This window comes from Homo sapiens, chromosome 10 (assembly GCF_000001405.40).
Source record: "Homo sapiens chromosome 10, GRCh38.p14 Primary Assembly".
In the NCBI taxonomy this organism is placed as follows: Eukaryota; Metazoa; Chordata; class Mammalia; order Primates; family Hominidae; genus Homo; species Homo sapiens.
The window spans coordinates 66,530,165-66,543,873 of record NC_000010.11 but is presented as its reverse complement, the minus strand read 5'-3'; the positions used below and the strand labels follow the sequence as shown (position 1 = coordinate 66,543,873).

Here is a 13,709-nt window from a genome sequence, read left to right as displayed (position 1 = left end):
AAAAAGCAAAATTTAGCAATTTTAATACATTCACCTATTTCACCATATACAGTGGGAGAAGAAACTTTAAAAAATTAACTCACAATGGTGAATTGGATGTTGTTACAAGCTATTCACAGCTTTCCTTATAATTGAAATAAGATTCAGAGATGAACAGAGGTTCTAATAGGAAAGATTTTGAATCAGCTCTAAGAGAGCTTCATTTTTTCTACTATCTTTAGAAATGTAATTCATTAAAAAATACAAAAATTTTAAAGTAGAAATTTCTTGTAATTTCTCTACCAGAAATCATGATGAATAATATTTGGTGTATAACCTTTCAGCTTCTTCTGTGTAGGTAGTTGTCTCTATAAAATGTATCACATATATTTTTAATTTATTTTTTTCTTCACTTAAAATAACTTAAACCCCTTTCCATGTTATTAAATATTGTTTAATGTAATTTTTCATGGCTGCATAGCATTTTATTAAAAACCTGCATTCTGGGCGGGTGCAGTAGCTCACGCCTGTAATCCCAGCACTTTGGGAGGCTGAGGTGGGTGGATCACGAGGTCAGGAGTTTGAGACCAGCCTGGCCAAGATGGTGAAACCTGTCTCTTCTAAAAATACAAAAATTAGCCGGGCTCAGTGGCAGAGACCTGTAATCCCAGCTACTCGGGAGGCTGAGACAGGAGAATTGCTTGAACCTGGGAGGCAGGGATTGATTGCAGTGAGCCGAGATTGCGCCATTGAACTCTAGCCTGGGCAGCACAGCAAGAAAAAACAAACAAACAAACAAAATTCTGCACTCTAACTTACTTAGTGGATATACATTTTGGTAATTTACTATATGGTGTTTATTTATTAAAAAATACTGTAGCCTTTTTAAGCTAAATTTCAATGTTTACCTTAGTTATTTCATTAGAATACATTTCTAAAAGTAGAATTTCTATTTTAAAGTCTGCAAATTTCAAGTTTTATTTTATTTTTTTAATGTATATATTTTTATTATACTTTAAGTTCTAGGGTACATGTGCACAACGTGCAGGCTTGTTACATATGTATACATGTGCCATGTTGGTGTGCTGCACCCATTAACTCATCATTTACATTAGGTATATCTCCTAATGCTATCCCTCCCCCCTCCCCCAACCCCACAACAGGCCCTGATGTGTGATGTTCCCCTTCCTGTGTCCAAGTGTTCTCATTGTTCAATTCCCACCTATGAGTGAGAACATGCGGTGTTTGGTTTTTTGTCCTTGTGATAGTTTGCTGAGAATGATGGTTTCCAGCTTCATCCATGTCCATACAAAGGACATGAACTCATCATTTTTATGGCTGCATTGTATTCCATGGTGTATATGTGCCACATTTTCTTAATCCAGTCTATCATTGTTGGACATTTGGGTTGGTTCCAAGTCTTTGCTATTGTGAGTAGTGCCACAATAAACATATGTGTGGATGCGTCTTTACAGCAGCATGATTTATATTCCTTTGGGTATATACCCAGTAATGGGATGGCTGGGTCAAATGGTATTTCTAGTTCTAGACCCCTGAGGAATCACCACACTGTCTTCCACAATGGTTGAACTAGTTTACAGTCCCACCAACAGTGTAAAAGTGTTCCTATTTCTCCACATCCTCTCCAGCACCTGTTGTTTCCTGATTTTTTAATGATTGCCATTCTAACTGGTGTGAGATGGTATCTCATTGTGGTTTTGATTTGCATTTCTCTCATGGCCAGTGATGATGAGCATTTTTTCATGTGTCTTTTGGCTGCATAAATGTCTTCTTTTGAGAAGTGTCTGTTCATGTCCTTTGCCCATTTTTTGATGGGGTTGTTTGTTTTTTTCTTGTAAATTTGTTTGAGCTCTTTGTGGATTCTGGATATTAGCTCTTTGTCAGATAAGCAGATTGCAAAAATTTTCTCCCATTTTGTAGGTTGCCTGTTCACTCTGATGGTAGTTTCTTTTGCTGTGCAAAAGCTCTTTAGTTTATGCAAATTTCAAGTTTTAAATACGCATTGCAAAAACACTTTACAGACATATGGAAGTTTCTTAAATTAGTCTTTAACAGCTATTTAATAGTATAAATCTCTTACGTGTTGTAAAGTTAGAATCCACTGAGTAGTAAGGGGAAGAATGAGGAGACTTCTCTCTTGGGGTAAGTGCATGTTTCACAATCTAAGAGTTTATCTATTAGAAAAAATAAATTTTGACTTTGTAGAATGTCAAGACCAGACCACTTTCAAGTTTTAGTATCATACAATATCTAAAGAAACATGCATTATAGAGAAAAGCTTGGATGATTTCTGTAGAACATTTTACCTAACAATACATTAAAATCCTTTAATAGATTAGTAAAGGAATTGGTGAGAAATGCATTCAATATAGGAACTTTACTTCTTATACTGAGAAAGATTTTAATCATATATGGAAGTAGCTCAGATGAAGGGAAGCAATGGAAGGCTAATCAGGACTTTACTTGACAGAAAAAAAATTGTTGAGTTTCTAATACACGAATATTCTTGCAAATGATCCAGAAGAGAAAGTGCAGAATGAAAACACCAGGGAGATGCCAAATTGATGTAATTAAATTTGAGGAAGTATTTAGAGCTCTGGAAGACTGAGCAGAAATGAAACAAGTCAGATTCCTTTGGTATAAATACAATGTTGGCTTAAGAGAAAATAATTGAAGCCACACCTATACAATGATGAGATTTGAACAGGGGATAACAATAAGGAGGCACCTGAGCATCCCTGTAGATTCTCCATTGAAATCACCAAATTGATGCAGACAAATGGGCTAAAATAGTTGATTATTATTAACAGGTTTTTTTCTTTTTGAGAGAAAAAAACTCAAAGCAGGTTATCAGATTCCGCAAATATTCCATGTAGATCTGATTGCTATACTTTGACTTTTTTTATAGTGGATATGGAAAAGACTTACGTAAAGTTAAGGAATATAATGAGTTGGAAGAATTCACACATGAAGACCATCCCTTTTAAAAGATAAAGCCTGAGAGGGAATAACATCTAATTTCATACAGTCTTGAAAGCTCTGTAAAAGGTAGATACAGGCTTATCAATTCATGGACTAGAACTTGGAATGCAGCGGTTCTTTTGTCAGCCCTCACCTAGACCCAACCCTGGCTCTCCCAAATTTCTGATAACCTTAAACTAGGTGCCTGGCTCTGTACTAGAAAGGAAGAAAGGAAGAAAGGAAGAAAGGGAGAAAGGAAGAGAAAGAGGAAGGGAAGGGAAGGGAGGGGAGGGGAGGGGACCTAAAGATACTGCTTTTTATGCTCACGTTTATGGCAGTTTACATGAAAAAACGGCTCAACTTTATTTCTGCACTTCAGGACATCCAGGCTAAGAGCTTTCAGTTTTTGACTCATTACAGAAACTGTTTTGTTTCTTTTCTGTCCAAGATAGCAGATACATGTGGCAAGTCTCTCTCAATCAGTGGCCAAGTGGTCCTCCTGTACTGTCCCTCAGTTTCTGCTCATCTCACAGATAACCATCTAACTTTCTGAGAAGTTAACTCGTCTAAACTAGAAACTTCCAAAGTGAATTTCATGTACAACAAATTGCCTGTATTTCAAGTGAGACTGTTCCAGCTATCTAGTCATTTTGTTGGGATGCTATTTTTCATAGACAGAGAATTAGTTTTTCTACATAGATACCTCATATTTAAGTACTTTCTATAAAATGTCCTGCCATCCTAAATAGATTATATATTCTATTTCAGGGATCATAGCTTGTACTTATATTCCCAATGTTTATAACAGTAAGGATGTAATACCTCTTCTTATTATTGTTATTTATGATGATAATGTTTGGTGATAACAAACAAAAGAAGGTCAGCTTTCTAAGATAGACAGAAAATGAGTTAATCCATTTTCTGAGTTAGGGAGGGAAGACAACATTTAACAAACATTGACCAGGACTATTATAGGTATTTTACCTAAGTAATTTTATCCCTTTAAGGTAGTACTTTTAAATATTTAATGTGCCTATGAATAACCTGGGGTTCTTCTATAATGCAGGCTCTGATTCAGTAGGTCTGGGGTAGAACCTGAGATTCTGCATGTCTAACAAGCTCCCAGGTGATGCTGATGTTTTTTGTAAAGGAAAAAATTTAAAATCTCAGGAACCCTAAACTTCTTATGCAAAAAGGAGAATGAAGCCTGTCCTGCCACACCCTCTTCCAAATGAATAGCTGTCACTAACATTATTCTTTAGCCAGATCCCCATGGGAAGGTAAAAGGCCTCAAGCATCTAAAAGGACTGTCCCTATAGATCATTCAAAAGTAAAATTTTTGCTGGCCTCTCATATAAACAAGGGAATGCCAATTGTAACTTCAGGGCTACAATGTAAGTCTAGCTCTTAAAACTAAAGTCTGTTGGATTTCACACTGATAAAGACCAGTATGAGCTTATCTTCCCAGGTGCAGAACAATGTCAAGACTCATTCCTCCACCTACCCAGAGACATCTGCATAATTTCTTCTTCCTTTACTCTCTTTTTCTCTTCAAACATTCATTAATCTTATGTAAATGTAGATTTACTGGGCACTAACCCAAGTCTCATGGGAATGTAGCCATTTGCCTTCCTGCTCACCTGCCCCTCTTTCTACCTGCCCTCTCCCACTTCAAGGAAATTTATAAATACCCACATAAAGCCTCTTTGGAAAAACAAAAGTGTCTGTGGCTCCTATTTTTCCGGATGTACACTATAGCTGGCTAATAAACCTTGATGATTGAGACTCATTTCCAATGTCGTATTAGTCAGCAGATGACACTTTGAACAACAAGGTTTTAAACAACTCTATGAGTAATATAATTATGACAATAACAGCAATGATGACAACAATAGTCATTTAACATACACCATATTACTTGAACGGAAGTTCTACAGGTTAGGTAAGATAGATGGTAATGTGTGAACAAATGATACTGATAAGTTAGAAAATCATAAAATAATAAAGCTAGGGAAAATTTTTTAAAAACACCATTATGAAAATCAGTTAAACCTGATACATTAACTGTCTCTAAAAATGCTCCTTTTCTGTTCAGTGAATCTCTAGCTAGGATAGAATTTGTTTACAATAAGACAGTATTGTGACAGAAGACATTTATCTTTTCTTTAAATCCACAGCAGTTCCTATCAACAGACTACTTAAAATCAGCAGTTTTTCTCATGCTTTCAATGGTTAGTCTATCTAACAGCATATGTAAGTGACCTTTTGATAATTATTTAAAAGGTTCGTCAGTAAAGTCTCAAATGCCTGATTCAGGAGAGTCACGTATCTATCTGCTCTGGAAGCACTCAAGCTGAACTGTCAGAAAGGCAAGCACTTTCTTTTTGGTTATGTTTGTTGCAACGCTGCTCTATTTTTAAATTTGCCACAGGAAGGACTTCTCAAGTTCAAATTCCATAGATCCAAAGTCACTAAATATACCAGCACCTAACAGCAGATTTACAAGCACTAACCTCTGGAAATATATCTTCCCCAGAAAAAGCAAGTCTGCCTTTGCTGAGTCCAAGAAAACCAATTACCCGAAAGACTCTGAAACCACCACCTGAAAATGCTAGAATAGAGGCTTCTGTTGATTTTTATGACAAAAATATTTTTTTGATCACTAGCCGAACATCACCCTTATCTGCTCTCCTGTGCACATCAATTAAATGAAGAGGGAGGGAAAAAGGAAAATAAAAAATTGTGTTATTAAAGAGTAGCCAGTGAGGAACTGGTTGTTTTCAGGCAATGAGGCCATAGTGTCTTAGAAAACCCTTAAGCAGACAGTCCCTGAGAAACAGTGTGTTATCCAATGTTAAGAAAATATCTATGATTGATTCTTTACTACTTCATGATAGGGAAGTTATGCCATGTAGTGATGGTGTGGAGGGTGTTTTTGGAAGATAACTTTGTGATATGCTCTGAGGAATGACAGATCTTTTATCCTTTCAATATAGTAAAAGTTCTTAAAGAAAAACCTGGGAACTATGGAGATCTTTTTTTTTCTGCTTTGAGGAGAATATTAACCCATTTTTGCTGATTTTAGTAACTTCACAGAGAAGTTTTTTAAAAAAATTCATATGGATGGGGGTCTCACTATATTGCCCAGGCTGGTCTCAAATCCTGGTCTCAAGTGATCCTCCAGCCTTGGCTTCCCAAAGTATTAAGGCTGTAGGGGTGAGCACTGCACCTGGCTAAGACTCCATTCTTAAAGCATTGTGAATGTTTTCATTGTTATAATTTATTTATAACAATATAAAATATAAATTAAAAATAAAATTATAACAATTTATTTATAATTATTATAAATACATTTATAATTTAATAAATAAATAATTCCCTTTCCTTGAGTGACAAGGGAAATGGTTGAGGTCATACAAGTTTGCCTTGAGTTTATCTCACATAAACATCGATAAACTAAGAAAAGTCTAATTTCAATGGAGGATTTTCCAAGGTTAATGAATGAAGTCACCTCATGGACTGGGTTCTGTGTAATCACCCATCTTGTGTTTGTATTCAAACATATTGAACCTTGAATGTGAGTGAACTCTATGCCCTCTGACATAAAGATGTGGTCTGGTCTTTGTGACTGTAATTGCAATCCTGACCATTAGTTTCTATGACTTGTTTAAGTTAATAATCAGTTTTTGTGCAGGAGCTGATTGCCACCTTTTCTTTTATGCTGCAAACTTGTTTTTATAACTATTTGTCAAACTGAAGAAACCACTCGAGTTATTTGGAAAGAGGACAGAAAAAATTCTGCCATATACAACTAAATGAGCCACCCATAGTTATATATTTTATGTAAGTCTTTTTTTTTTTCAGTAAAAACTGTGTTTGACAGAAAATGCTTTGCTTCTAATTTAACCTCGGACTTTTTATGCTATTTCACAGTTGACCCAGAAGAGTGAAGCTTATTTTCACCGCATAAATGTCACTTTAAACATTTTAGGATACATAAAATTCCTTCCTATATACCCAGTTGTATAATAGAAGAGAGAGAGTTTGACAGAGAGAAAGAGAGAGGTACAAAGAACTACAGTGTATAATTTAGTGCAACGCTCAATGAAGAATAAGTACCTATGAAATAAACTTAGGTTCAATTACAAATAATCTACTCTATCATCCATTTTTTTCTCATCATGTTACTTTCAGGCTACTGTTGTAGGTTTTCTACCTTTAACTTCTCTGTTAAAGGCATTAGTATCTGCATAAGTACCAAAATTTAGGAACCCCTATTTCTTTGTCTTATTTGACTAGTCTTCAGTATTTGATCCTATTGACCATGATCTTCTTGTTGAGATTATTACTACTCTGAGCATTTCCTTTTGGATGCATTTCTTTATTTGTCTACATTCATGAATACTGGAATTACTTTTTTTTTTTTTTTTTGAGACAGAGTCTTGCTCTGTTGACCAGGCTGGAGTGCAGTGGCGTGATCTCGGCTCATTGCAATCTCTGCCTCCGGGGTTCAAGCGACTCCCCTGCCTCTGCTTCCTGAGTAGCTGGGATTACAGGTGCACACCACCATGCCTAGCTACTTTTTGCATTTTTAGTATAGATGGAGTTTCGCCATGTTGGCCAGGCTGGTCTCGAACTCTTGACCTGAGGTGATCTGCCCACCTTGACCTCCCAAAGTGCTGGGTTTACAGGTGTGAGCCACAAGGATTACCTTTTTTAATTTCTCTCTCTCTGTCTCTCTCTGTCTCTGTCTCTCTCTCTCTCTCTCTCTCTCTCATGTCGTTTCACCTCCTGGTACTGAATCCATCACCCTGTTTCAACAACAATCTATAGCTCTCTATGTCAATGACTCTAAAAATCTATTTTTCTTCCCCAGATTTTGTTTCTGATATCTGTGTATCTCAACATAGATTTGCTGCAATATTTTAATTTCATCATGTCTATAACTCAACTAATAATTTTGCTCACCCAAACCATATATTTTGTGTTCTTTATTTTCATCACTGAAATAATCATTAATTAAATCATCAAGCCATAAATTTGAGACTGTCCTTGATTCCTTCATAATTCTTATCTCTCACATTCAACTGGTCATGATTCTATGAATTCTACATGTTAATTATCCCTCAAATCCTGCTTTCACAGCTGCTGTAGCCTCAGCTGACTATGGAGAAATACAGACTTCTCCCTCCCCATCCCTCACCACAGGGTTGAAAATGAGACTAGAAAATTGAAGGCAGCTATAGTGTCTGATATGTTAGAAGACTCAGTCATCATGGAAATTATGCTTGGCCTGCATTATGGAGTGCATCCAGTTCTTCCTAATCCATTACATAGAATGACATTAGCTCTTCAAATAGAACCTGCCAGATGCTAAAAGCCATTGTAGGTTTGTCACCTATATTTCCCCGGAGATAATTCCTTCTTATTCATAGCTTTGTGTCCTACTACTCAATCTAATTTACATAGTCCAACTCCCAGGAAACAGTAGTACCTTATTCCTGGTTCTATACATAGCCCATTGAATTAAAGTCTGTAATTAAGAACCATAGCCGTATTTATCTCTTACACGGCATGTTACAGCTCAACCTGCCCTGAACAAAATAAATAACACTTTAAATTACAAATTGCAGATCTGTGCTCAACAAAGAGGAGCTCTTTTCCAGTGTATATTATTGATTATGTTTTCCTTGGGTAATTTTTGTCTATCAACTAACTCATTTTGTAACTGGTAATTCAGGGTTTTTTTTTTCCCCCTTAAGAAGTAAACTCACAAAGTGAGTCTGACTGAATGTAGGCCATAGGTTCTTTAATATGTAATTATTACAATAAGTAGTGCATCACTGCAGTACTTTGCATGCGCCAGTGAATATGCATCAGCAATTAAGGACTCCAGGTCCTGGAGAATGAAATAAACATTAGCAATTTTTGCAATCTGTTGAGGCCAAGAAGAATTCTCCAATAGAGTAGTAAATTTTAAATGGAAATGTTTGTAATTATTTAATGAGAAAACATGCTTTTTTTTCCATTTCCAGAATGGAAAATATGTTCTTTCCAAACTTTAATACTTCATAACTTTAGAAAATAAATAATTTAATTTTAATATAGTAATTCATGAAGTTCGTATAGTTAATTTATGTTTTCTAATCACTCCCAATGATCTTTGCTATTCAGTAAATACTATAATTTATTAAATTATTATAAATGATATAATTTACTGAATAATTTTATATATTACCAATTTGACTGATTAAAATAAAAAGATACAAAGATTGGGTTGCCCAAACTATAGACAAAGCTTCTAATTTAAGAAAGACATTATTCTATTCTCAGGGAATTTTATTTCTCTTTTATATATATAAACATAAATGTATGATTTATAGATACATATGATAAAAATCATATATATACATATATATATATATATATATATATATATATATGATTTTTATAAAATCCTATCCTAGTTGGGAAAATCCAATATTCTCTTTTAATAGTAGCATCTGACTATTTTTATTATACTCTATTTTTAATCTACCACCTATACTGGTAATAAAGAACTTTGTTTCAGGTCAATTTAAATAGATTATAGAGCTTTTCTTACCTTAAATGTGTGGTAAAATTGCTACAGTATTTCTAAATGGCCTTTCCAGCTTGAATTCATTCTTATTTTCCTGTTCTGACCTCTAGCTAACCAAGTAATATAATTAAAATCTGAAGAAATAGCAAAATGGTCAGTTTTTGAGCATAACAGTTCCATGGGGGAAATCACACTTTAATGTTTACCTTTTGCTAACTCGAGACTCACTAGAGTTGAGCACAGGATGGATCAACAAGGAAAGCCTGGTGATTCACTTGGAATAATCTTTAGAATAGCTTAATATGGATATTTGATGAACACTTTGCTGTTGAATATGCACTTTAGTAGTGGCCCTATTTTTTGTGACTGCAGAGTTATAAATAAAATAAAATGATACGTACATTAAAAAATTTTTTAACTCTTTTGTAAGGATGGGGTCTTGCTATGTTGCCCAGGCTGGTCTTGAACTCCTGTCCTCAAGCCATTTTTCCACCTGGACCTCCCAAAGCACTAGGATTATAGGCGTGAACCTCCATACCTGACCATATAGACATATTTTCATCACCATAGCTACTGGTATAAGAGTTCGCTGTAGGGATAGACTTGATCACTTGGGAAAAGCCTTTAATAAATTAGTAGGCTTGCAAAGTAGAAGGAGCCTTAGACTGGAGCCCTGGTTACATGGGAAGAGGGATTCTATTTGGCACTTTCCACGTACCCTGGGAAAATAACATAAAGACATTAAGATCACTGCTTTTTTATAACAATGGAAAGTAGAGATTAGTCATTCATCAGATGATCACTCTAATGAACATCTCGTTAATGAGAAGAGATAGTGAGATCAATACTCACCCTAGATGGAACCTGACCTGGATTTGATAAAGTTTGAGATATTGAGATAAATACCCACGACAATCCAGGAACCTGACCTAGATTTGATATATTTGAGGTAGTGTGATAAATGCTCAACCGTGACAATCTAGGAAACTGACCTAGATTTAATAAAGTTTTCGTGAGAAAATAATGCTTTAGGTGAGCCCTGCTGGATAAATTGGAGTTACCTAACAAGAGGTAAATCCCTACAGAAAGAAAAGCATAGACAAATGCCCCTAGACAAAGAAGAGTGGAAATCGAGGGGTGCTGATAGGAAATAATGCTAGAGAAATAAACAGGGGCCAAATATTTCAGGGCCTTAGGCTAAATTAAGTACTTTGACTTTGATCCTATGATAAAAGAGGAGGCAGGAATTTTGTGAAATTAGTAATTTGGAAATATCACTTTGTAGAGAGTGGCTAGGAACAGAACTAAAGCTACCTCAGTTGTCACTGAGAGATAATGATCGTGTAGAGTGGGGTTGTGGCAGTGGACATAGTATCTTGGAGGTCAAAATACTAGGTCAAGGATATTAATAAAATTTCTAGGAACCCATCAGAAGGAGAGAGAAGGAGACCATGCAAGAGCATGAACAATGAGAGAGGAATGAGAAAGAGAAGTCAACCCTAACTATTTCGACCCTATTTGTACCTTGTACTCATATTTTCTTAACATGCCCTTGCAACTCAGGGAAAACATTGCTTACATAGATTTCATATACGTGTTGTCCTTTATTGAATATTTATGCGTGACTTTTCTCCCTTAGAACACTTAAAGTGAAATATTTTCTGAGTTTCTCCTGTCTTATGCTCTCTAACTTAGATAAATGGTAGACACAGAGCAAAAATCATTTGACAATTAAGAAAGTTAAATTTCTTAATGTTATGTGAACTCTTCTTAGTGCTAAAACCAAAGCTGAATCCAAGTCTACAAAGAATATGTCTAATCCCAAGCTGTCAGGCATTTCAAATACATGCCTTTTTTTTTTTTTTCTTTTTGAGACGGAGTCTCGCTCTGTCACCCAGGCTGGAGTACAGTGGCGCGATCTCAGCTCACTGCAAGCTCCGCCTCCCAGGTTCATGCCATTCTCCTGCCTCAGCCTCCCCAGTAGCTGGGACTTCAGGCACCTACCACCACGCCCGGCTAATTTTTTGTATTTTTAGTAGAGACGGGGTTTCACCATGTTAGCCAGGATGGTCTCGATCTCCTGACCTTGTGATCCACCTCCCTCAGCCTCCTAAAAGGCTGGGATTACAGGTGTGAGCCACTGCGCCAGGCCTTGTTTTTTCTTTTTAACTTTTGCCAACCTCTTATTATATGAAACACACTTTGGCAATTAATGAATAGCTTACATTTTGACTTTATGTCTATATGAAATTGGATGGTACATTAAAGAGAAACTTTGTAGATGTTTCTGACATAAAAGTCCTTTAAAAAAAGGAGATTTGGCAAAAATATTAAATTCATTTTAAATTTCTCCATTTGAACTGAAATGATTTGGGAGATAGTACCAATTTTTTTCCACTCCAAATTCTAAACTTATTAAATCTCTGAGTAGCAAATTATAATGGATCAAAAAATCTCTGTTGCCTATATTTATTTTTTCATCATTGCCAGTTAAAGTATTTTTATTACTTTAAACTGTAATATGTGTTATTGGTATCAGATAGTTTTAAGGCAATTTTTCTCTTATTTTAGTTTTATGTTACAGGAAAACCCTAAAAAATTGTGTGTAGATTCAATTTTTCTTATTTATATTTATTTAACTCAGACTTAAAAAAATTGGAATATTAAAATGATTGTTGAGTTCAACAAAATTGTAAATTCTGTGTGTATATATATTTGTGTATAGTATTCTTTTAAATCCCTAAAGCATTCTTGTATTTTATTTTCAAATTATCTTTATAGAAGCAATCATTTGTAAATTAGTTGGGCATGGTGGCAAGTGCCTGTCATCCAAGCTACTCAGGAGGCTGAGCCAGGAGCATTGCTTGAATTTTTGGGGCTGCACCACTGCTCTCTAGTCTGGGCAACAGAGCAAGCCTCCATCTCACAAAAACAAACAAACAAACGAACAAACCATAATCTAATTTAATTCTACCAACAACCTTTGTAACAAGCATTTTAATGATCATTACAGATTAGGAAATTGAGGCTCAGAGAGTAAGCAATTTGTCTAAAACCACACAAAACTAAGTACTGGAGCTGGATTAAAATGGGAGTCCTCACTCCAAATTCTATTTTTATTAGTCTACAAACCCTACGTATTGGTGATTTTGTTTTATCATCACAAGCAATGCATTTTATATTCTTTTCCTCTTTTACTTATTTAATTTGGAAGGTTGTCCAATCTTAATATTTAGTGTAAAAGACAGTAAAATAAATGTTTTGATTTTCATGTGGAATTATTGCCTTTTACAGACCTCCCGGGAGCATTATTTTTCCCACTTATTACATTTTCCATAACCGAAATAGTCCTAGGTTGAACTTTTCCTCTTCAGCAGTATGTTTTATGAGATACGAAAATTTATACTGGCATATACTTTCACAGAAAGCTCTATCCTCCCAGAAATAAACTTTGTCCCCTTCTCCTCTTAAAAAATACTTTTAACCCCTAGAATAGGATAGCTTGGTTTCTTATACGTTTATCCAAGGCAAATGAGAGTCTTGTGAGAAGTTTCCGTGTGAGTGATCCCATCATGCAGGGATCATCCCTTCATGGAGTAAGAAGATTACAAAAAAGGTTGTGAGGCCAAAGTTGAATGCAGTTTCATTAATTGTAAACCTGGAGTCCATGGCAGGTTAGGTCTCCTCAGCACCACACCCTCCCCTACTCTGAAATGCTTTTATCATTTAACATAAAGTTCTGACATGGAGATTCATGGTGGGAAGTATTACATGCCGTAATTTGAAGTGTAAAGGTAATTTGCCATAGATGAAGTATAGTATGAGAGCAGGTAAAATAGAAAAAGTTATCAAAATAAAGAAATGTGGAAAAACTACGTAGAAAGTGAGAAATATTTGGTAGTAGTAGAACATCATTTAAGCAACTGAGAAAAGGATGAACAGAGTTAGAGCATTGAATTTGATGCCATTACTCCAGTTGCTAGAATTCTGAAATTATGATGATGTTACCAATTTAAGTGGTTGTTACATAAATTCACCTCACATACAACCTTAGATGTATTCGAGGCATCATATATCTAGTTATTTTAATTTTCTCTACTTGCCGTGCCACTGAGGTAATCAGACCTATAGATACTACATATAAATCATCTTTTTAATCCACAAAGTG

At 35.4% G+C, this 13,709-nt stretch overlaps 1 protein-coding gene across 8 annotated transcripts in view, besides 1 other annotated feature; it reads left to right on the top strand.

Moving 5' to 3' along the window:
• Positions 1-13,709, top strand: part of CTNNA3 (catenin alpha 3) — a 1,851,072-nt gene that overhangs the window by 1,219,721 nt on the left and 617,642 nt on the right. The gene's annotated exons all lie outside the window — the stretch shown is intronic.
• Positions 4,377-4,546: an enhancer, noted in NCBI's record as "experimental_15446 CRE fragment used in MPRA reporter constructs". NCBI's record gives its function as "activates a minimal promoter by MPRAs in K562 erythroleukemia cells, with activity observed for both the introgressed and non-introgressed 10:68299171 variant alleles {active_cell/tissue: K562}" and the evidence as "EXISTENCE:reporter gene assay evidence [ECO:0000049][PMID:34662402]".